The 22,254-nt window shown below is 52.7% G+C and overlaps 2 protein-coding genes, 1 long non-coding RNA gene and 1 other non-coding gene across 5 annotated transcripts in view, besides 9 other annotated features; 2 read left to right on the forward strand and 2 right to left on the reverse strand.

The window, feature by feature from the left end:
• Window positions 1–120: part of an enhancer, noted in NCBI's record as "H3K27ac hESC enhancer chr19:13022560-13023262 (GRCh37/hg19 assembly coordinates)", that runs on past the window's edge. NCBI's record gives its function as "activates a minimal SCP1, AML or CMV promoter by ChIP-STARR-seq in primed H9 embryonic stem cells {active_cell/tissue: H9 hESC(primed)}" and the evidence as "EXISTENCE:reporter gene assay evidence [ECO:0000049][PMID:30033119]".
• SYCE2 (synaptonemal complex central element protein 2) overlaps window positions 1–6,965 on the reverse strand; it is a 20,508-nt gene extending 13,543 nt beyond the window's left edge. For both annotated transcript variants that reach the window (XM_011527882.3, NM_001105578.2), the window contains exons 1-2: window positions 6,915–6,965; window positions 5,894–6,009 (exon numbers count right to left, since the gene is read on the reverse strand). In XM_011527882.3, coding sequence (XP_011526184.1) covers window positions 5,894–6,009; window positions 6,915–6,929 — 131 coding nt within the window. In that variant the 5' untranslated portion in view covers window positions 6,930–6,965. The remainder of the gene's footprint in view (window positions 1–5,893; window positions 6,010–6,914) is intronic.
• Window positions 822–1,523: an enhancer, noted in NCBI's record as "NANOG-H3K27ac-H3K4me1 hESC enhancer chr19:13023964-13024665 (GRCh37/hg19 assembly coordinates)". NCBI's record gives its function as "activates a minimal SCP1, AML or CMV promoter by ChIP-STARR-seq in naive H9 embryonic stem cells {active_cell/tissue: H9 hESC(naive)}" and the evidence as "EXISTENCE:reporter gene assay evidence [ECO:0000049][PMID:30033119]".
• Window positions 822–1,681: a biological region, named in NCBI's record as "Sharpr-MPRA regulatory region 4901".
• Window positions 1,387–1,681: a silencer, noted in NCBI's record as "tiled region #4901; HepG2 Repressive non-DNase unmatched - State 2:TssF, and K562 Repressive DNase matched - State 8:EnhW". NCBI's record gives its function as "represses a minimal TATA promoter and a strong SV40 promoter by Sharpr-MPRA in HepG2 and K562 cells {active_cell/tissue: HepG2 | K562}" and the evidence as "EXISTENCE:reporter gene assay evidence [ECO:0000049][PMID:27701403]".
• Window positions 6,645–6,784: an enhancer, noted in NCBI's record as "active region_14092". NCBI's record gives its function as "activates an Ori minimal core promoter by ATAC-STARR-seq in GM12878 lymphoblastoid cells {active_cell/tissue: GM12878}" and the evidence as "EXISTENCE:reporter gene assay evidence [ECO:0000049][PMID:35858748]".
• Window positions 7,992–8,076, forward strand: MIR5695 (microRNA 5695). The gene has a single exon (NR_049880.1). It is a non-coding gene; the product is annotated as a microRNA 5695 (primary transcript).
• On the reverse strand, window positions 10,151–21,383 carry FARSA (phenylalanyl-tRNA synthetase subunit alpha). The gene is made up of 13 exons (NM_004461.3): window positions 21,222–21,383; window positions 18,284–18,421; window positions 18,101–18,199; window positions 17,895–18,013; window positions 16,427–16,519; window positions 16,207–16,335; window positions 16,014–16,129; window positions 12,762–12,846; window positions 12,576–12,675; window positions 12,311–12,479; window positions 12,121–12,198; window positions 11,823–11,937; window positions 10,151–10,558 (listed from the first exon to the last, which is right to left on the reverse strand). Exons 1-13 carry the CDS (start codon window positions 21,366–21,368, stop codon window positions 10,420–10,422), a joined length of 1,527 nt encoding a protein of 508 aa, NP_004452.1. The 5' UTR covers window positions 21,369–21,383; the 3' UTR covers window positions 10,151–10,419.
• Window positions 18,194–20,968, forward strand: FARSA-AS1 (FARSA antisense RNA 1). Its single transcript, NR_149078.1, has 3 exons — window positions 18,194–18,218; window positions 20,642–20,709; window positions 20,821–20,968. It is a non-coding gene; the product is annotated as an FARSA antisense RNA 1 (long non-coding RNA).
• Window positions 20,986–21,055: an enhancer, noted in NCBI's record as "active region_14093". NCBI's record gives its function as "activates an Ori minimal core promoter by ATAC-STARR-seq in GM12878 lymphoblastoid cells {active_cell/tissue: GM12878}" and the evidence as "EXISTENCE:reporter gene assay evidence [ECO:0000049][PMID:35858748]".
• Window positions 21,066–21,565: an enhancer, noted in NCBI's record as "active region_14094". NCBI's record gives its function as "activates an Ori minimal core promoter by ATAC-STARR-seq in GM12878 lymphoblastoid cells {active_cell/tissue: GM12878}" and the evidence as "EXISTENCE:reporter gene assay evidence [ECO:0000049][PMID:35858748]".
• Window positions 21,066–21,581: a biological region, named in NCBI's record as "Sharpr-MPRA regulatory region 7930".
• Window positions 21,287–21,581: an enhancer, noted in NCBI's record as "tiled region #7930; HepG2 Activating DNase unmatched - State 1:Tss, and K562 Activating DNase unmatched - State 1:Tss". NCBI's record gives its function as "activates a minimal TATA promoter and a strong SV40 promoter by Sharpr-MPRA in HepG2 and K562 cells {active_cell/tissue: HepG2 | K562}" and the evidence as "EXISTENCE:reporter gene assay evidence [ECO:0000049][PMID:27701403]".

Genomic DNA, 22,254 nt, shown 5'->3' on the forward strand with positions numbered 1-22,254 from the left:
TCCCTTCCTGCCTCCTTCATAATGGAACATTTGGAACTTTTGCTTCTCTACCCCCCGCTATACCTAGGCCTTGCTGGTCACAAAGCTGCCAAAGTTTATGAACATCAGTCCCCTCCAGCGCACGACACCTTGAGGGTGCAGACTACACCCTACTCATTTGTTTTGCAGCACCCCAAAGGTTTCATCAGTTTGCTGAATATCTAAATGAATGCAGCACTGACATTGGGGCTCCCACACCTCCTCGTACCCAGTTCACCTTGTTGTCTCAGCCTCTCCTGGATGCTCTCAACAGTTTCAGACCCTAAAATTAAAATCGATGAGAGCACCAGGTGTTTCTTTTTGTGTGATTGTTCACAACCTGCTTGAGCTGCTAATGGTTCAGAGCTGCTCCTTTTTAAGGCTCAAGGGATGAGGCTGGAACCGGTTTTCATGGCAGCTAAGCAAACAGTAAAAAAAAAAAAAAATCACTTGAATTCAGCTAATTCGAGTTTCATGGTAGGACAAAGGCCTGCATCAGATGTCTGCTGAGAGCTTCTTTATTTTTCCAACCTCTCCTTTGGGGATTTATCCCTTTTGATTTCATTTTTCTTAATACACAGCAGCTGCATATTAATCAGGATGCTAATGAATCATAGGCTTCCCTGGGCCTGCATTCACCAATTAACTTTAACAAACAAAATGCGTGGTGTCCTCTCTGCTGGCTTTCCCGGTTCCTAGGCTGGCTTCTGTTGCCGAACCCTGGACCGAGGCCAGAGAATGCAAGTCAGCCCAACACAGCACGTCGGGTGTGCATGGCCTGCGCCCGGATTGGGCAGCGGGCTGGGGGCTGTGAACACAGCGCTGCGTTCATCTATTATGGTCTGTCCTTCTAAGAAGTCCCTAATTTGGCTGCGAGGATTAGGACATAGTTCCCAAGCAGGGCCCACGCTGGCAGGGGGCCCAGGAGCTGCGGAGGAAATGGGTCTAAGCGAAGAGACCATCTGTTCGCTCCAGGTAAAGCTGTGATTGGCAGGCGACTGAGCCAGAACTGCCCGCTGGTGGGGCCCTCCCTCCGTGGCCTCTAACAGATATACAAGTAAACAATCCGCCAGCCACTTATGACCACCGAGGGTGGCAGTCCCGGGAGAGGAGGCAAGCTAATCAAACATTCAAGGGGGGAACACAACAGAATCTCTGGCGCTTGGGCAAAACAATGTTTTGCTGAAGTACAGCCAGGAAGGGGGAAGGTTTGAATGGAAGCTGATGAGCCAGTTCCTCAACCTCTCCTTTTCTCTCTGGAAACGTGTTAACATTTTAATCATGTTGCTGAGTATCTGCTGCTGGATCTATTAACTGGCCCCTGCACTGGTTTTAATCTATCTGTTTTTTGGCCCAGGGTTCCTGTGGAGCTCCTTGAAGTCTCTAAATGATTTGCAGCGGTCTGTGTCTCTTCACTACACAGATCCTGGTCTAAACATGCTATTCCGCAGTAAGGTATTAGCAAACAAACGACTTCAACCATTGCTTCCCTTTTTTTTTGGTCTCCAATTGACAGCACACACCTATAAACCATTTCACGCGTGGCCTGCTTTCCAGCAGAGGAATGTGCGAGGAGAGGGAAGCTGGCTTGCTTTCTGCCTAGAGTCCTCAGGGCCCTGTCCTGACCCTCCTCTCACTCCTTCTCCAGGTGAGCTCATTCATTCCACAGCTGCTGCTGAAACAATGACTCCCACAGAACCATCTCCAGACCCTCACCCCACCCCGAGTTCCGGGTCAGAAAGTTGAACTGTATCCTGGACATGTGGATGTCCCTGGCCACCGAAAGTGGCTCAGATAAACAAGGACAACACAGAACTCATGTTCTTGTCTCTGCCAGAGAAGCCACCACCTACCGGAAACCACCACAAGCTGGAAAGCAGACAGCAGTGATGTGCTTGTAAGCATTTAGCAACTGGCTGTGTGATGGGGGGGAAGCCCTGATTCGTAGTGTTTGCCAATTTCCGTGGTGCAGAGCCTCCCACCATTAGCCAATTTCAGGCTACCAACATGAAGACGCTAAATGCCAAGTTGGGAAGAGATGTGTAGAATTGGCTCTTTCAAGCCGGTAGGAGCTGGCCCCAGTACATCATGGCCGGGAAACATCCTCCCTCATCCCCTTCCTGTGTCTTATGGCACAAGGCACTTCCTCCATCTGCCCTGCTAAAGGCCACCCCCCCCACACCCCCCATAAAAGCCTCCCACTAGACCTCCCTACACCCACACATTCTCCCTCCCAACCATTCTCTACAAAGCAGCCATATTTTTTTATTAATATTTTTTGAGACAGGGTTTTGTTCTTGTTGCCTAGGCTGGAGTGCAATGGTGCAATCTTGGCTCAGTGCAACCTCTGCCTCCCAGGTTCAAGCGATTCTCCTGCCTAACCCTCCCAAGTAGCTGGGATTACAGGCATGCACCACCACCCCTGGCTAATTTTGTATTTTTAGTAGAGACGGGGTTTTGCCATGTTGGCCAGGCTGGTCTTGAACTCCTGACCTCAGGTGATCCATCTACCTCGAACTCCCAAAGTGCTGGGATTACAGGCATGAGCCATCGTGCCCGGCCTGCAGCCGTATCTTTTTATAACGGGAACCTGAGCATGTCACTTCTGTGACCCAGCAGTTCCCCTCCTAGGTATGAGTATGCCCAGAAGAAATGAAATCATCTGTCCACACACAAACTTTTCTAAATGGATTTCATAGCAGTGCTGCTCATAATAGCCAAAAAGTGAAAACCACCCGAATGACTATCAACAGATGAGTGGATAAACAAAATGTGGTAGACTCATGTGGAATATTATTCAGCCATTGAAAAGATGAAGTCCAGATGCAGTGGCTCACGCCTGTAATCCCAGCATTTTGGGAGGCCACTGTATCTGGCCTGGAGTGATGAAGCTGTTTTAAAGTTGACTATGAGAATGGTTGTCCAGCTCTGAATATACCAAAAGCAATCAAATCATACCCTTCAAGGAGGTGAGCCGGGCGCGGTGGCTCACGCCTATAATCTCAGCACTTTGGGAGGCCGAGGCGGGCGGATCATGAGGTCAGGAGATTGAGACCATCCTGGCTAACACGGTGAAACCCCGTCTCTACCAAAAATATATAAAAAAAAAGCCAGGCCTGGTGGCACATGCTTGTAGTCCCAGCTACTCGGGAGGCTAAGGCAGGAGAATTGCTTGAATCTGGGAGGGGGAGGTTGCAGTGAGCCAAGATCATGCCCCCTCACTCCAGCCTGGGCAACAGAGCGAGACTCCATCTCAAAAAAAAAAAAAAAAAAGGTGAACCGTATGCTATGGGAATTATATCTCAAAGCTGTTACTGAAAAAACCTCTAGGATAAAGTCTGTAGCCCACAAAATGCCTCATAACCTGGCCCCTTCTGCAGCCCTCCCCTTGCACTCACCCCTGTACCCCACTCGCTCGCCTAGCCACACTGGCCTTCCTTTAGCTCCCCCGAATGCCACGAGCAGGGACTTCGCACGAGCTCTTCTCTCAACCCCTCCTTCCCCACCCTGCCCACACTTTCTGCTTCAACATCTCTTCTACAAGGACACCTTCCCTGGCTCCCCATTCCAGGCTGGCTGCCCACAGGGGAAAGGTCTCCCAGCACCATGATCTCTTCCCTGTTGGTGTTTGGTCAGATGCAAACAGCAGGAGGGTATGAGCATGTCTGTCTGGAGGACAGGAGTGTCCCTGCTGCCAATCACAATACTGCCATATCAGCCTTTTTTTTTTTTTTTTTCCTCGAGACAGGGTCTCACTCTGTCACCCAGGATGGAGTGCAATGGTGCTATCTTGGCTCACTGCAACCTCTGCCTCCCAGGTTCAAGCAATTCTCCTGCCTCAGGCTCCGGAGTAGCTGGGATTAAAGGCATGCGCCACCACGCCTGGCTAATTTTTTGTATTTTTAGTAGAAACAGGGTTTCACTATGTTGGCCAGGCTGGTCTCGAACTCCTGACCTCGTGATCCGCCTGCCTCGGCCTCCCAAAGTCCTAGGATTACAGGTTGAGCCACTGCGCCCGGCCAACATGAGCCTCCTTCTTGCTCTTTTGAGAACACATCAAGCTTATTCCTACCTGAGGGACTTCATACTTGCGGCCCCCTCTGCGTGGAAGGTTTGGGCCCAGAATGCCTCCTGGCTGGCCTCTTCTCATGTGACCTCTTCAGAGTTCTCCAACTGCTCTAAGGTCCCTGTCACTCTACTTGCTCCTTACTATATTTTGTTTCTTCATTCCACTTACTTGCCACCAGTTGAAATCACATTATTCACTTATTTATTTTTGAGACAGGGTCTTGCTCTTCCAGTGCAGTGAAGCAATCACGTCTCACTGCAGCCTCGACCTCCCAGGCTCAAGTGGTCCTCCCACCTCAGCCTTCCAAGTAGCTAGGGCCACAGGTGTGTGCAACCGCACCACACCACGCTCATTTCTTTCTTTCTTTCTTTCTTTTTTTTCAGAGAGATATGTCTCCCTCTGTTGCCCAGGCTGGTCTCAAACTCCTGGGCTCAAGGGATCCTCCTGCCTTGGCCTCCTGAATAGCCAGGACTACATGCATGCACCACCACGCCTGGCTGATTTTTGTGTTTTTAGTAGAGACGGAGTTTCACCATGTGGGCCAGGCTGGTCTCGAAATCCTGACCTCAAGTTATCTGCCAGCGCCAGCCTCCCAAAGTGCTGGGATTACAGGCGTGAGCCACTGCGCCCAGCCTCTACTATATATATACTTTTTTTTTTTTTTTTTGAGACAGAGTCTTGCTCTGTCACCAAGGCTGGAATGCAATGGCACAATCTTGGCTTACTGCAATCTCTGCCTCCCAGGTTAAAGCAATTCTCCTGCCTCAGCCTTCTGAGTAGCTGGGATTACAAGTGTCTGTCACCATGCCTGGCTAATTTTTGTAGACACAGGGTTTCACCATATTGGCCAGGCTAGTCTCAAACTCCTGACCTCATGATCTGCCTGCCTTGGCCTCCCAAAGTGCTGGGATTACAGGCGTAAGCCACCGTGCCCGGCCTACTAAATTTTTCTTTTTTCTTTTTTTTGAGACGGAGTCTCACTCTGTCACCAGGCTGGCATGCAGTGGCATGATCTCGGCTCACTACAACCTCTGCCTCTGGGGTTCAAGCGATTCTCCTGCCTTAGCCTCCCGAGTAGCTGGGACTACAGGCGTGCACCACAACACCCAGCTAACTTCTGTATTTTTAGTAGAGACGGGGTTTCATCATGTTAGCCAGGATGGTCTCCATCTCTTGACCTTTTGATCCACCCCCCTCGGCCTCCCAAAGTGCTAGGATTACAGGCATAAGCCACCATTCCTGGCTTTTTTTTTTTTTTTTTGAGACAGCGTTTCGGTCTTTTTGCCCAGGCTGGAGTGCAATGGCGCCATCTCAGCTCACTGCAACCTCCACCTCCTGGGTTCAAGCGATTCTCCTGCCTCAGCCTCCTGAGTAGCTGGGATTACAGGCATGTGCCACTATGCCCAGCTAATTTTGTATTTTTAGTAGAGACGGGGTTTCTCCATGTTTGTCAGGCTGGTCTCAAACTCCCGACCTTAGGTGATCCACCCGCCTTGGCCTCCCAAAGTGTTGGGATTACAGGTGTGAACCACTGCACCTGGCCAATATTTTTTAATAAATTGGCCCGACATTCTGGCCCGCCTCTAGTCCCAGCCATTTCGGAGGCTGAGGTGGGAGGATCACTTGAGTCTGGGAGGTGGAGGTTGCAGTGAGCCGTGATCATGCCACTGCGTGGTGACAAAGCAAGACGCTGTGTTAGGAGGGAAAAAAAAAGCAGCAGACACTGGCATAGCCTTGTGGAAGAAAAGGGTGAATGAGAGGGACCCAGGGGCCTGTGTAGACCCATAGGGCTGGGATCTTCCTCACCTAGCTGGCCCTCCACCAGCTTCCTCCTCGCAGTTCTCTTCCCACCGCGGATGCTCCTTGCTCTCCCCCAAGGGCTGCGGTTCCTGGTCTTTGCATTTCACATGGGGCACGTCCACCTGCAAGCACAGTCAGGACGGAGGCCAAGGAGGGAGGATGAGGAGTGAACAGATCGCCCTCCTGCCGACCCTTCAACCCTGGTCACCTCGATGTGCTGCTGCGGGACGGTGGGGACCCGCAGGAAAGACGGGCAGGGCTGGGGCAGGTGCCATGAGGGCAGGGGCATGGGGTGAAAGGACACTCTGTCCCTAGGGGACACCAGGACACCAGACCTAGAGGGGCCGGGTGAGGGCAGGGCTGTGGGAATGTAACTGGAGGACCTGGGCTCCTAACTGGTATGTGTGTTGGCTGGAGTCCTTCGAGAAAGGAGAAGAGGTAGGAGAAAAGAGATGAGGCCGGGCGCGGTGGCTCACGCCTGTAATCCCAGCACTTTGGGAGGCGGAGGCGGGCGGATCACGAGGTCAGGAGTGCGAGAACAGCCTGAGCAATATGGTGAAACCCCGTCTCTACTAAAAATACAAAAATTAGCTGACGTGGTGGTGCGTGCCTGTAATCCCAGCTACTCGGGAGGCTGAGGAAGGAGAATCACTTGAACCCGGGAGGCAGAGGTTGCAGTGAGCCGAGATCACGCCACTGCACTCCAGACTGGGCGACAGAGTGATACTTCGTCTCAAAAAAAAAAAAAAAAAGAAATGAAAGAAACGGGTGCGGTGCGTGGGTGTTTGTGCCTTTCTCTACTCCGTTCCGGCCACGCGCCATGTGTGGAAATCAGACCCGTCAGTGCGTCAGTCAGGGCCGGGTTCAGTCAGTCAGGAAATTTGAGGCCAGGCCTGATGAGAGGGAGCCCCAATGGCAAAGGACAAGCGGCCGGGCTCGGGTCCGCTGGAGATGGCTGGGATCGCAGCCGTTCCCTGCCTATCTGTCCGCCCGCCCCACGCGCGAGAAGGAAACAAGCGCCGCGTACTCCCTGTCGCTCCATTCCGTATTTTCCCGCCTTCAAGCTCGCACCCTCTGCGCATGCGCCGACCCCGCCCCTGGCCAGCTGCGCTCCCGCGGACGAGTGTGTTGTGACGCGTGCTCCCGGCCCCGCCCTCTTTGAGAACTTGCGCGGCCAACTGGGCGGGGCCGACCGTTAAGCAGCAGTTTCGCGGTCCGCGGGCTGCGCGCGCAGTCGGCGCCCCTTGGGAGCAGGACGGCGCGCTCTGGGTGCGCTTGTGTGCCCCTGTGAGGCTCCTGGGTTCCACGGGGCGCCCAGGTTATACGGATCTCAGAGTCCTGTATTTATTCGGTGCTTCTAACTTCATCCACTCTGCCTTGGAAAATATACTCCATAACAATTTTTTTTTTTTTTTGAGACAAGATCTTGGTCTGTCGCCCAGGCTGGAGTGCAGTGGTGCGATCACAGCTCACTGTAGCCTCGACCTCCCAGGTTCAAGCGATCCTCCTGCCTCGGCCTCCTGAGTAGCAGTGTCATTCACCAGGCCCTTCTAATTTAAAAATATTTTTCTGGCCGGGCGCGGTGGCTCACGCCTGTAATCCCAGCACTTTGGGAGGCCGAGGCGGGTGGATCACCTGAGGTCATGAGTTCGAGACCAGCCTAGCCAACATGGTGAAACTGTCTCTACTAAAAATACAAAAAATAGCCGGGCGTGGTGGCGGGCGCCTATAGTCCCAGCTACTCGGGAGGCTGGGGCAGGAGAATTGCTTAAACCCAGGACGCAGAGGTTGCAGTGAGCTGAGATCATGCCACTGCACTCCAGCCGGGGTGACAGAGTAAAGCTCCGTCTCAAAAAAAAAAAAAAGATTGTATGTATATATACACACACACACACACACACACACACACATAATTATATTTTTTTTTCCTGTAGAAATGAGATCTCACTGTGCTGAGCCCAGGCTGATCCCCAACTCCTGGGCTCAAGCCGTCCTCCCGTCTTGGTCTCCCAAAGTGCTGTCTCAAAAAAAGAAGAAATTATCTGATCTACCCTATTGACTGTAGGTCATAAGACCCCCGTTTCAAAGAAGTTTCTGCCCCACACAAGGCCTATCTATCTAGATTCTTCTTGGCCTCTCTGAGCATGCATTCCTGAGACTCCAAGAAGAATCTAGACAGATAGGCCTTGCTGGGTTTCCCCACTCAGCCTATTAGTATTAGACGACCCCCCCGGCTTTTTTTTTTTTTTTTTTTTTTTGTCTTGCTCTGTTGTCCAGGCAACACTGGAGTGCAGTGGCAAGATCTCAACTCGCTGCAACCTTGGCCTCCCAGGTTCAAGCGATTCTCAGCCAACCAAGTAGCTGGGATTACAGATGCACCATGCCCAGCTAATTTTTGTATTTTTAGTAGAGATGGGGTTTTTCCATGTTGCTCAGGCTGGTCTCAAACTCCTGGCCTCAAGTGATCCACCCGCCTCAGCCTCCCAAAGTGTCAGGATTACAAGTATGAACCACGACAAACCCTTTTTGTCCAATCAAATTTCTACCTGGGTGTTCAAACTTTGCTGAACCTAAGCATAAGACACTTTTCATTAATCAGGCATGGTGGCGGGCACCTGTAATCCCAGCTGCTTGGGAAGCTGAGGCTGCTGTGAGCCAAGATCGCCCCTACACTCCAGCCCAGGGAACAGAGCCAGACTCCGTCTCAAAACAAAACAAAACAAAAACACAGTTTCCCCTGTATCTCTGGATCTTCATTCTGAAGGCTTGTCAGGTAACACTATGATCAAATACATTCGTATTCCTTTTCTCTTATTAATCTGCCTTTTCTCAGTAATTTTTAGTGAAACTTCAGAGGGCAATAAGGAAGCTTTCTCTTCACCCCTACACAGCCAAAGTTCAGATTTGATGGAAATGGCAAGATTCCAGGGTACTTGTGTTTATTTAGACACATAAATATGTATTTAACGACAGGGTCTCACTCTGTTGCCCAGGCTGGAGTGCAGTGGTGTAATCACGGCTCATTGCAGCCTCGACCTCCCAGGCTCAAGTGATCAACCTCAGTCTCTGGAGTACCTGGGATTACAGGCATGAGCCACTATGCTGAGCTAATTTTTGTTTTCTGTTTTTGGGGGACAGGTCTCACTCTGTGGCCCAGACTGGAGTGCAGTGGTGTGATCTCAGCTCCCTACAACCTCCACCTCCTGGGTTCAAGTGATTCTCCCACCTCAGCCTCCCAGATAGCTGGGACTACAGGTGCCTGCCATCATGCCTGCTAATTTTTGTTTTTTGTTTTTTTTTTTGGAACAGAGTCTTCTTCTGTCACCCAGGCTGTAGTGCAGTGGCACAATCTTGGCTCACTGCAACCTCCACCTCCTGGTTCAAACGATTCTCGTGCCTCAGCCTCCCGGGTAGCTGGGACTACAGGTGCTCACCACCACGCCCAGCTTTTTTTTTGTATTTTTAGTAGAGACGGGTTTTCACCACGTTGGCCAGGCTGCTCTCGAACTCCTGACCTCAAGTGATCTGCCTGCCTCAGCTTCCCAAAGTGTTGGAATTACAGGCGTGAGCCACCACGCCCAGCCTAATTTTTTTTTTTTTTTTTTTGAGACGGAGTCTTGCTCTATTGCCCAGGCTGGAGTGCAGTGGTGCGATCTCCGCTCACTGCAAGCTCCGCCTCCCAGGTTCACACCATTCTCCTGCCTCAGCCTCCTGAGTAGCTGGGACTACAGGCACCCGCCACCACGCCCGGCTAATTTTTTGTATTTTTAGTAGACAGGGTTTCACCATGTTGGCCAGGATGGTCTCAATCTCTTGACCTCATGATCCACACGCCTCAGCCTCCCAAAGTGCTGGGATTACAGGCATGAGCCACCGCACCCAGCCCTAATTTTTTTATTTTTAGTAGAGATGGGGTTTCACCACGTTGGCCAGGCTGCTCCTGAATTCCTGACCTCAAGTGACCCACCCACCTTGGCCTCCCAAAAGTTCTGGGATTACAGAAGTGAGCCACTGTGCCTGGCTCAGTACCCATACTTTTTTTTTTTTTTTTTGTATTTTTAGTAGAGACGGGGTTTCACCCTGTTAGCCAGGATGGTCTCGATCGCCTGGCCTCGTGACCCGCCCGCCTCAGCCTCCCAAAGTGCTGCGATTACAGACGCGGGCCACCTCGCCCAGCCCAGTACCCAGAATTTTGACCATCAAGTGGCACACTGAGCTAGGGGGACCCAACAAGACCCCTCACCCCTAAGGAAAGCCACCAGATGGGGGCAACTGCCCACTTTATTAGACAATAGGTGGCCCACAGGTCTCCTCAGGGCCCACCCTCACAGTAGACACACCACACAGGACAACAGAAGGAACCTGCTACCCAGTCCTCTGTCCCTGGGATTCTGGTCCTGGGACAGGTGGGAAAGAGGAAGGTGGGGGCTGGCCTCACAGAGGCCTCATAAATACAAGGTCACTGGCCAGGGATGCAAAGGAGCGCAGCAGCAGGGACTCGGGGAGGATGACCTGTCCTAGAGTGGCCCATGTCACGCAGCCTCCTGTGTGGGAGGGGGCCTCGGCTCGGCATCCAGGCGGCACAGGGGACTGTCATACACCATCTGCAGGTTCACCTTGTGGCCCACCAGCTCCCGGATATTGTTGATGCCATATTTGATCATCGTTGGGCTTGTGGGGGAGGGAACAGAGTTTATCATGAGGTCAGCACGTGCACCCTTCTGCTCAGATTTCCATGGCTCCCATCTTCTTCAGAGGAAAAGTTCAAGTTCTCCCCATGACCCACAGGGCCCTGCGCCAACTGCTCTATCACCTCTCACCCTCCGCCTTCAGCCACACCAGCCTCCTCACTCTTCTCCTAATACAAAAAGCACATTCCCACCTCTGGGCCTTTGAACTGACTGTGACCACTACCTGGGACACCCTTCCCCAGATACTCTCATGGTTTACCTCTTTATCTACCTCTAGATTTTGCTTAGGTGGCACTTCTTCCTCCATGATGCCTTCACTGACCACGTAGTTGCCTTAGCCCTCCCTATACCACTTACTGCCCTGGTACACACTTCTGTCTTCTTTTGCTGAGTGCATTTGTTTTTTTGAAACAGAGTCTCACTCTGTAACCTAGGGTGGAGTGCAGTGGCGTAATCTCAGCTCACTGCAACCTCCGCCTCCCAGGTTCAAGTGATTCTCATACCTCAGCCTCCTGAGTACCTAGGACTAGGACTACAGACGCACGCAACAGTGCCTGGCTAATTTTTGTAGTTTTAGTAGAGACGGGAGACAGAGTCACACTCTGTTGTCTAGACTAGAATAGAGTGCAGTGGCATGATCTTGGCTCACTGCAACCTCTGCCTCCTGGGTTCAAACGATTCTCCTGCCTCAGCCTCCTAAGTAGCTGGGATTACAGGCACCTGCTACCACGCCAGGCTAATTTTTATATTTTTAGTAGAGATGAGGTTTCGCCATGTTGGCCAGGCTGGCCTCGAACTCCTGTCCTCAGGTGATGCACCTGCTTCAGCCACCCACAGTGCTTGGATTACAGGCATGTGCCACCACGCCTGGCCTGTTTTTATTCTTTGTAGAGGCGGAGACTTGCTCTATTGCCCAGGCTGATCTCAAACTCCTGGCTCAGGCGATCCTCCTGCCTTGGCCTCCCACAGCACTGGGATGACAGGCATGAGCTACCACGCCTGGCCTGATGTACTTGTTGGTCTTGCTAGTTATCATCCTTCTCGCTCCACTGGGACCCCAGATTCAGAGGGAGGGACATAAGCTGTCATGTTCACAGCACGGGGCTGAGCATTCAGTTTGTACTCACGATGAAAGTTTTGTCCATTGGATGAATGAATGGGTGGTGCTGAAACCACGCAGGCCCCTATACCTGGAGAGTTATTTGAGGCAGCTGGACACCCCGAGTTTCCACTTGGGCACTTACCGCTCCAGGGAGAGGCCCCAGGCAATGACCGACACGTTCTCGGGAAGCCCCATGGGCAGCAGCATCTCTGGACGGAAGACCCCCGAGTTTCCGACCTCCACCCACTTCTTCAGGCCTGCAGAGGCAGGACAGAAAAGACGGGCAGTGCGTGTTGAGTTTCTGGGCACTGCTGGTACAGGTTCTGGGTCTAGGTGGTGAGCTTGGGAGGTGGGGTACAGGCATGGCAATGGGGGGACCCAGGCCAAACCATAGTAGCCTGAGACCTCCCTCCCACCCCAGTACCAGGGCCTACCCTGACCTTGGTGGTAGCTGAACACCTCCATGCTGGGCTCTGTGTATGGGTTGTAGGCTGGCTTGAAGCGGAGTTGCGTGATACCTGCAGGAAGTGGGGGGCGGGCAGGAGAGCAGGGGTTTGGAGGATAATGCTGGTGATCAACACACCTGCCCGCTGCCTCACCACCATGGCCCACCCCTGCCCCCCTGCTCACCCAGCTTGGTGAAGAACTCCCGCAGAACGCCCATGAGGTGGCCCAAGGTGAGACCATGATCCGCCACCACGCCCTCGATCTGGTGGAACTCAGCCAGGTGCGTGGCGTCCAGGGTCTCATTCCGGAATACGCGGTCGATGGAGAAGTACTTGACCGGAGTGAAGGGCTTCTAGGGGTGACAACCGAGCCAGGCCCAGGTATGGGTCAGAAGGTCCCTTTGACAGCACCCTCTCCCCACTGGGGCCCCCGCCTGGGCCAACCGCACCTTCTGGGCAAGGCGGTAGAGCGCACGGGCGCTGGCTGATGTGGTGTGGGTTCGCAGTAGGTTTTTCCGGGCCTCGTCCAGCTTCCAGTTATACTTGTACCTTCAGGAGGGAAGGTGGGAAGTCCATGCAATGGCCCAGGGGTCCCCAGCCTCCTTCCCTTCCATACCAGGTAAGTCCTGCCTCACCCCTGTGAGCCGTAGCCGCCCTGAGAGTGGGTCCGCTTGACCCGCTGGACATAGTCCATTGGGAGCTGCAGGGCCTCCGCTGGATCTGGGCAGGACAGAGCAACATCAGGTCAGTCAACGAGCATTTCCCACCCCTTTTTTTTTTTCAGACAGGGTCTCACTGTTGTCCAGGCTGGAGTGCGGTGGTGCAATCTGGGCTTACTGCAACCTCTGCCTCCCAGGTTCAAGTGATTCTCGTGCCTCAGTTTTCTCATTTGTGTGTGGCTTTTTTGGGTTCTTTTTTTTTGAGACAGAGTCTTGTTCAGTTGGCCCAGCTGAAGTACAATGGCTCAATCTTGGCTCACTGCAACCTCCACCTCCCAAGTTCAAGCAATTCTCCTGATTCAGCCTCCCAAGTAGCTGGGATTACAGGTGCCTGCCACCACACCCGGGAAATTTTTGTATTTTTAGTAGAGATGGGGTTTCGCCATGTTGGTCAGGGTGGTCTCGAACTCCTGATCTCAGGTGATCCACCCACCTCGGCCTCCCAGTGTTGGGATTACAGGCATGAGCCACTGCACCTGGGCTTTATTTATGTATGTACGTATGTATGTATGTATTTTGAGATGGAGTCTTGCTCTGTTGCCCAGGCTGGAGTGCAGTGGCATGATCTTGGCTCACTGCAACCTCCTCCTCCCAGGTTCAAGCAATTCTCCTGCCTCAGCCTCCCAAGTAGCTGGGATTACAGAAGTGCACCACCACACACAGCTAATTTTTTATATTTGGTAGACGTGGGGTTTCACCATGTTGGCCAGGCTGGTCTCGAACTCCTGACTTCAAGTGATCCGCCTGCCTGGGCCTCCCAAAGTGCTGGGATCATGCCACCGCGCCCGACCTTTTTATTTTTTCTTTTTTTTTGAGACGGAGTCTCGCTCTGTCGCCCAGGCTGGAGTGCAGTGGCGCGATCTCGGCTCACTGCAACCTCTGCCTCCCAGGTTCGAGTGATTCTCCTGCCTCAGCCTCCTGAATAGATGGGACTACAGGCACACGCCACCATGCCCAGCTAATTTTTGTATTTTTAGTAGAGATGGGATTTCACCATGTTGGCCAGGATGGTCTCGATCCACCCACCGTGGCCTCCCAAAGTGCTGGAATTACAGGCGTGAGCCACCGCGCCCGGCCTATTTTTTTTTTTTAAAGGGACAAAATTTTTTTTTTTTTTAGACGGAGTCTCGCTCAGTCACCCAGGCTGGAGTGCAGTGGCATGATCTCGGCTAACTGCCAGCTCCGCCTCCAGGGTTCACACCATTCTCCTGCCTCAGCCTCCCGAGTAGCTGGGACTACAGGCGCCCGCCACTATGCCTGGCTAATTGTTTTTGTATTTTTGGTAGAGACGGGGTTTCACTGTGTTATCCAGGATGGTCTTGATCTCCTGACCTCGCGATCCGCCCGTCTCAGCCTCCCAAAGTGCTGGGATTACAGGCGTGAGCCACCGCGCCCGGCCTAAAGAGACAAAGTCTTGCTCTGTTGCTTGGCCTGCAGTGCAGTGATGCAATCATAGCTCACTGCAGCCTCAAACTCCCAGGCTCAAGCAATCCTTCACCTCAGCCTCCCGAGTAGCTGCAACTACAGGCGTGCACTACTATGCCCAGCTAATTTTATTTGTACAGATGGGTCTTTCTATGTTGCTTAGGCTGTTCTCAAACTCCTGGGCTCAAGCGATCCTCCTCCCTTGCCCTCCCAAACAGTGGGATTATACCCACTGAGGCTGGCCAAGTTTCCTTCTTTGTAAAAAGGGGTAACAGTACTGCTTCCAGTAGTTGGCAGGAAGATTAGAATAGTGGCTAGTATGTGATGAGTGCTTAGTAAGTTTTGGGTGCTATGACAATAATGACAAGAATGATGTTGCTCCTCTGGCCAGGTAAGCCGGCACCCAATGACCTCAACTGCCCTCTTGGTCAGGAAGGCCACCCCATTGTGGGAAGTCATTCCATTTCAGACAGTGCTAAGGGCAATGAAAGAAAGAAATGGGACAGAAGAATGAACACTAGGGGAGAAGGGCTTCTGTAGAACTCGGGGTGAGCCCGGGAGTGTTAGGCTGGCCTGTCTCTGGTGACACGTGAGCAGAGATTTGAGGCTGCAGCCTGCCTTGAAGATCTGGGAGAAAACAGCTCTTGGCTAAAGACGGAACATAAGCAAAGGCCCTGAGGTGTGCACGGCCTGGAATGCCCAAAGAAGACATGGGGGCAGGCAGGGTGTGGGGGCTCATGCCTGTAATCCCAGCACTTTGGGAGGCTGAGGCAAAACTGTTTGAGATCAGGAGTTTGAGACCAGCCTGGGCAACATAGTGAGAACAAAACAAAACAAAAATTCATTAATTTTGGGCTAGGCGTGGTGCTCACGCCTGTAATCCTAGCACTTTGGGAGGCTGAGGCGGGAGTATCACTTGAGGTCAGGAGTTCCAGACCAGCCTGGCCAACATGGCAAACCCCATCTCTATTAAAAACACAAAAATTAGCCGAGCGTGGTGGCGGGTGCCTGTAATCCCAGCTACTCAGGAGGCTGAGGCAGGAGAATCGCTTGAACCCAGGAGGTGGAAATTGCAGTGAGCTGAGATCGTGCCACTGCACTCTAGCTTGGGCGACAGAATGAGACTGTCTCAAAAAAAAAAAAAAAAAAAAAAAAAAGCCAGGTGCGGTGGCTCACGCCTGTAATCCCAGCACTTTGGGAGGCCGAGGCAGACTGGAGTTTGAGACCACCCTGGCCAACATGGCAAAACTCCATCTCTACTAAAAATACAAAAATTAGCTGGGCATGGTGGTATGCACCTGTAATCCCAGCTACTCGGGAGGCTGAGGCAGGAGAATCGCTTGAACCTGGGAGGCAAAGTTTGCAGCGAGCCAAGATCATGCCACTGCACACTCCAGCTTGGGCGACAGAGTGAGACCCTGTCTCAAAAAAAAAAAAAAAAAAAAAAAAGACTGCAGGTGGCATAATGAGAACAGAGCTTGACACATCCAACAAGGATGGACTTTAATTTAACTCAATTAATTTTTTTAGAGGTAGATTCTTCCCTATGTTGCCTGAGCTGGATTTGAACTCCTGGGCTCATGCAATCCTCCTGCCTTGGCCTCCCAAATAGCCGGACTACAGGTGCACACCACCATGCCCAGTTCTAGACCTAATTTGATCAAATGGGATGCCCATCCTGTAAAGGCTCCGCCGTGGCCTGGTGTCTCTCATGTCTCAGGGAGGCCCTAGGGGCTGACCCACCTCGAAGGAAGAAGGTGTCGTGCTGGTCACGGGCTGGGTGCTGCTGGGGCTGGAAGAGGGCGTCAAAGTTCCAGAAGGAGCTCTCAATGAAGTTATCAGTCGGCATCTCGGTGAACCTGGTGGGAGACACAGCCTGACTGCCCTGCCTGTACCCAGCAGAAGCACCAGGCACCGCCCCCAGCCCTGTGCTCACCCCATCTCCAGGAAGATCTGTCGGAACTGGGAGCGGACCTTGAGCAGCGGGTGAAGGTGGCCGCTGTCGGGGAGGACACCGTGGGCCAAGAAGTTGTAGGGCTTGAAGGGCCGGTCCCGCCAAGAGCCACTGGGGGAGGATGCAAGGGCCTGGTAAGGGCTGCCCGCCCCTGCCCCCTGCCCCAGCTCCCACCTGCCCTGACCCTGGGGTTGCCTGCTACCTGGAGATCATCTCTGGGCTCAGCTCTGTCTCTTGCTTGGAGATGCTGGTACTAAAGGCACTGCCTTTGCTCACCCAGTAGGTCTTCAGAGTCCTGTGGCCAGGGGAAGGAAGGGGACGCCACTGCCATCTCCTCCTAGAGGACTTCCTTGATCTCCCGTCTGATGAGGATCCCCATGCTACCTACCAAGTCACTCTGCTTTATTTCCATCCTGACATTTATCACTACCTGAAATCCTCCTATGTGACCATGCTGTATCTCCCTGTATTCACTCACTGATTCATTCAACACTTACTGAGAACCTAATGTGTGCCAGGGTCTGTTCAAGGTGCTAAGTACACGACTGAGTGATGATACTAGGGAAAGTCTAGCAGATTTATTCTGTGCCAGGCTCTGTTCTGCAAAAGTCTCCCCACAAGCCCCGGAAAGAGGGCAGTTTTTTTTATTTGTTTGTTTGTTTTCCTTTTTTGAGACAGAGTTTTGCTCTTGTTGCCTAGGCTAGAGTGCAATGGCACGGTCTCAGCTCACTGCATCCTCCACCTCCCAGATTCAAGCGATTCTCCTGCCTCAGCCTCCAGAGTAGCTGGGATTACAGGCACCCGCCACCACACCCGGCTAAGTTTTGTATTTTCAGTAAAGACGAGGTTTCACCATGTTGGCCAGGCTGGTCTCGAACTCCTGACCTCAGGTGATTTGCCCGCCTCGGCCTCCCAAAGTGCTGGGATTACAGGCATGAGCCATCGTGCCTGGCCCCTTTTTCTTTGAGATGGGGGTCTCTCTATGTTGCCCAGGCTGGCCTTGAATTCATGGATTCAAGTGATCCTAACACTTCAGCCTCCTGAGTAGCTGGGATTACACACGTGAGCCACACACTTGGCCCAGGCTATTTTATAGATAAGGAAACGGAGACCAGCAAAGGCCAGGTGACTTGGCCAAGGTCATAAAACTAGTTAAGTGACAGAGCCCGAACTTCAGTTAGGCATCCCAGCTCTAGTCTCTTCTCTCTGCCACTCTGTGTCTGCTCAAAGGGGACATTTGTCCTGTGAGAGGACGGCCCCTAGCCCATCTAGGTTCCAGAGGCCTGTCTGGTGTGTGTTCATTAAACTTTGGACCACACTAAGGACAGTGAAAGAAATGAACAAGCACCAAAGATGAAGACTAGGGGCGATGGGCTTCATGGAACTCAAGGGGAGAGGAGGGCTGTCAGGGTGGCCTCTTTAAGGGGACACAGGAGAGAGACTTGATGAGGAGCCTATCTTGAAGATCAGAGGGAAAACAGTTCTCAGCAGAAGGGTCCTCATGGGCAAAGACCCCAAGGCACGTAGGCTTGACAACTATGGCATTAAGCGAGCTGGGAGGAAACTGGCCACACCTGTGCTTGGTGTGGGCAAGATGTCTCCCTCCCACCATGCCTCCACCATGCTTCGCAGGTGGTGGGGGCCTGAGCCTGCAGGGGGCACCCACTCACACTTCAGCCAACAGCTTCCTCTTCCTCAGCTCGCTCCTCTCCTTCTCCCCCAGCTTCTCAGCCTGTCCCCCCCGGACCAGCTGGAGCCGCCGCTGCACCTCATCCTCCATGCTGTCCACCTGCCAGGATAAGGAGTGTGAGGGGTATGAGGGCCAGGGGCCCATGTGCCCGTCCACCTGCCCCCTGACCAGCCCGCAGGAACGCACCACTCGGAACACCCGGGGCCCGTCAGCCGCACTCTTGTCCACCCGAATCCACTTGTTGGACATGGCCTTGCTGAAGCCCACTTTGCCACTGGGCAGTCGCTGGAAAAGAGAGGCTGCAGTGAGTGGGGCACGAGGGCCACCTTCATCCCATCACTCACTCCCCATTCACCCCGCAGCTCCTACCATAAGCTCGCTCTGGGCCAGGCCCTCTGGGGGAATGCTTCGAAACACACGGGCCTCATGGCTGCCCTCCCGGGCAATCTCCTCGCCCTCCGCAGTAAGCTCCCAGTGCTTGGTGGACCGAAGTTCAGCCTCGATGACCTAGAGGGAAATGTGGGGAGGGTGTCCAGGCAGGGGTGAGGCTCAGAGCCAGGCACCCCCTTTCTGCAGCGCTGGGTCCCAGGTTGAAAGCACAGCCCTTAAAGCTAGGTTCACATCCCAGCTATACAACTTTACAGCCAAGTGGTCTCAAGGGAAAGACTTCCCCTTGCTGTGTCTCCATTTCCCTTATGTAACACAGGGGTAGTAATAATGATAGTTTACACCTCCCAGGGTAAAGTACACCACTAAAGATGTTACCTGGCAGAAGACAAATTCTGTCGGTTTTGAACCTGTGACAGATTTTAATGTGAAAAATTAGGTGAACTGATATGTCTCCACATTTTTTTGTTTGTTTTTGTTTTCTTTGAAAGGGGGTCTCACCCTGTCACTAGGCTGGGTGCAGTGGTGTGATCATAGCTCACTGCAGCCTAGACCTCCTGGGCTCAAGCGATCCTTCCGCCAGTCCCGAGTAGCTGGGACTACAGGCATGTGCCGCCACACCTGGTTAATTTTTAAATTACTTTTTTTTTTTGAGACGGAGTCTTGCACTGTCGCTCAGGCTAGAGTGCAATGGTGCGATCTCGGTTCACTGCAACCTCTGCCTCCCGGGTTCAAATGATTCTCCTGCCTCAGCCTCCCGAGTAGCTCGGATTACAGGTGCCCACCACCACCCCCAGCTAATTTTTGTATTTTTAGTAGAGATGGGGTTTCACCATGTTGGCCAGGCTGGTCTCAAACTCCTGACCTCGTAATCGGCCGACTCCGCCTCCCAAAGTGCTAGGATTACAGGCGTGAGCCGCCGTGCCCGGCCCTTTAAATTACTTTTTAAAGACAGGGTGTTGTTATGTTGTCCAGGCTGGTCTCAAACTCCTGGCCTCAAGTGATTCTCCTTCCTCAGCCTCCCAAAGTGCTGGCATAATGGGCATGAGCCACCATACCCAGCCTGTCTCCATGTTTAAATGTTCACATGTCAGTGCCCAGAATGTCAGAGACGGGCCCTGGAGGTCCACATTACAAACAAAAACTGAGGTTCCAGGTCCAGAGTCATGAAGACAAGGACAACAAGGGTAAGTAGAGTGCACAGGGCCTGGCTCCCACTTCATTCTAATCCCAACTCTGCCCTTCACTTACTGTGTGACCTCAGGAAAGTTGCTTAACCTCTCAGTGACTCTTCTCATCCATAAGAGAAAGGTGTGATGGGTTCTACCTCAGATGATTTTAAGGAGTAGCTAAATTAATACTCAGAAAGAATATATAGTGCCTACCACGTGACAAACACTGCATAAATTTTTTTTTTTTTTTTTTTTGAGACGGAGTCTCGCTCTGTCGCCCAGGCTGGAGTGCGATCTCGGCTCACTGCAACCTCCACCTCCCGATTCAAACAATTCTCTGCCTCAGCCTCCCAAGTAGCTGGGATTACGGGTGCCCACCAACACGCCTGGCTAATTTTTTTTTGTATTTTTAGTAGAGACAGGGTTTCATCATCTTGGCCAGGCTGGTCTTGAACTCCTGACCTCGTGATCCACCCGCCTTGGTCTCCCAAAGTGCTGGGATTACAGGTGTGACCACTGCACCCGGCATAAATTCTAATTACTATAATTATTTTTATGGCTATTACTGTCATTAGATTGAACCTCACCTCCTTATATTATTTAACCCTCTGTGACGTATACAAATGTCAGATCATATTGGTCAAGGCACTGTCACCCCACACAACACAGCTGCCATCTCTCCTCTGCATTGAGGACTATGGGCTCTGCAGCCTGAGTGCCTAATTTCAAATCTGGGCTCATCGGCCTCTTCTATTCACACTGATTATGTTACTGACCATCAGTTGTCACATCTGCAAAATGGGAATAACATGGCCATCAGCCAGGATTATGGAATGGATTGGACAAACAAGCTGAGACCAAAGTGGGGCACAGAACATGAGCTCTACGGATAAACAGCCCAGATCCTGGCCCCATGGATCTAGCCTTCTGGGTGGCCCACGGGCCCCTCAGCATCCTACGCCTGTGACTCTGTCACTGTCCACTTGCCCAAGTCAGAAGGCTGGACTTCATCTGTGCGCCCCCTGCCTTGTCCTGAATCCCACGCCTTCCCCACCTCCCCCAAGCTTCCTTCCCATAGCCAGACATCATGCCCTCCAGCTTGGGGAAGTGCCAGCTTCTTCTTTCATCCCTTCACCTCCAGTCCTGTCCATGCCAATTCTTCCCAAAGGTGATGTGGATAGCACACTCATCTGACCGGCTCTAGCTCCTGCTATCGCTTCCCAGTTCCCTCATGAGGTAAAGACCTAAGAGGCTTTGCAATTACAGCTATGCTGGTCTCCCTTGCCGCCTGCCATCCCCCAAGATCCCGGCCACTGATCTCTAAAGTGCTATCACTTTCCTCAACAGAGAACAGACTCAGCCGTCACCTGCACCAGGCCGCTCTCCCTGACCCCCAAGGCTGGGTCAGCTGTCACAGCTGGGTCCCCTGTTTTCCCCCATCACTCTGGTTCTTGAAGCACCTTCCTATTACGTCGCAACCTGCGTGAGGGCAGCAACCGCGACTTCCTCGTCCATCATCGTACCCTCTACCCACGCTGACCGTGCCTCAATAAACGTTTATTGCATGAGGAACATCCGTGCGTCTGGGCCCTCACTCGTCCCACTTCCCGCCCGCACATCCCGGAGTGGACACATATACAGCTACCCCAAACTAGGCCTGAGGGAATTTGGCTTGGACGTAGAGCGCCCGTGGCAAGGGGACTGTAGGTGCAAGGGCAAGGCGGTCCGGCATCACGGGCCCGGCTCACCTCGCCCAGCGCCTGAAGGCTCTTCACGGCGCCCACCACCGCCTGGTGCTCCATGCCCAGCTCAGCCGCCAACTCGGCGCTGTCCAGGCCGCCATCAGACGCCTCCAGCCGCCGGAGCAGCAGTTCCGCCACCTGACCATCCGCCATGACTCCTTCCAGTGTGCTCAGCGTGTCCGGGCCCGGGTGGGCGGGGGGAGCTGAGCCACCGGAACCGGAACCGGAGTGTGTACCGCCATCTTGAATGTGTCTAACTGTAGAACAGGGCTCAATGTGTCGTCATCTTGAGTGTGGCGACGGAGCCGCAAAAGGTGCATGGGACTCAGTTCCCACCTCCACCCTGGCTCCATCAATGGCGTCTGGTTGACCAGAGGGGTAAAATTGATTATCTCAAGGTCAGAAGCACCGCCCTGTTTTGAGTTTTATCTAGCCTCACTTCGAGCGGGCTGTGTGACCTTGGACTTCCCCGTCTCTGGGTTACAGAACCCTCTGCCCTTCTGGTATTCTCTCTTGCCCTAGGAGAGGCGGTGGGTGGTGGGCTCCAGAGATGGTCATTTTGGCGATGTCAGCTACTTTTAAAATTTCAAAGGAAGGCTGGGTAGGTACCGTCCCTTTTTATAGAGGGAAAAGGAATTCACCTAGTAAGTCAAGGTGGCACCTAACCTGTGTGGACTACCTCGTATGTGGTAGTACTTAGCCCAGAACTGAGTACTTCACGTGTAGTATTTCATTTATCCCCAAAACTTTATGATGTAGATACTGATATAACCGCATTACACATGTGAGAAAACTGAGGCTCAGAGGGTGGTATGACTTGCCCAAGGTTCTACAGAGAGTTGGTGGAAATGAAGTCATAAATTATAAACCTTCCAGATCCTCCCACCCCTGTGCGCTGAGAGTAACGTCAGTGCAAATACTGCATGGCCTAGATTAGCACTGTCCTATAGAAACACAGTGCAAAACATCTTTCTTTTTTGAGACAGGGTCTTGCTCTGTCACCCATGCTGGAGTGCAGTGGTGCAATTATGGCTTACTG

This window comes from Homo sapiens, chromosome 19 (assembly GCF_000001405.40).
Source record: "Homo sapiens chromosome 19, GRCh38.p14 Primary Assembly".
In the NCBI taxonomy this organism is placed as follows: Eukaryota; Metazoa; Chordata; class Mammalia; order Primates; family Hominidae; genus Homo; species Homo sapiens.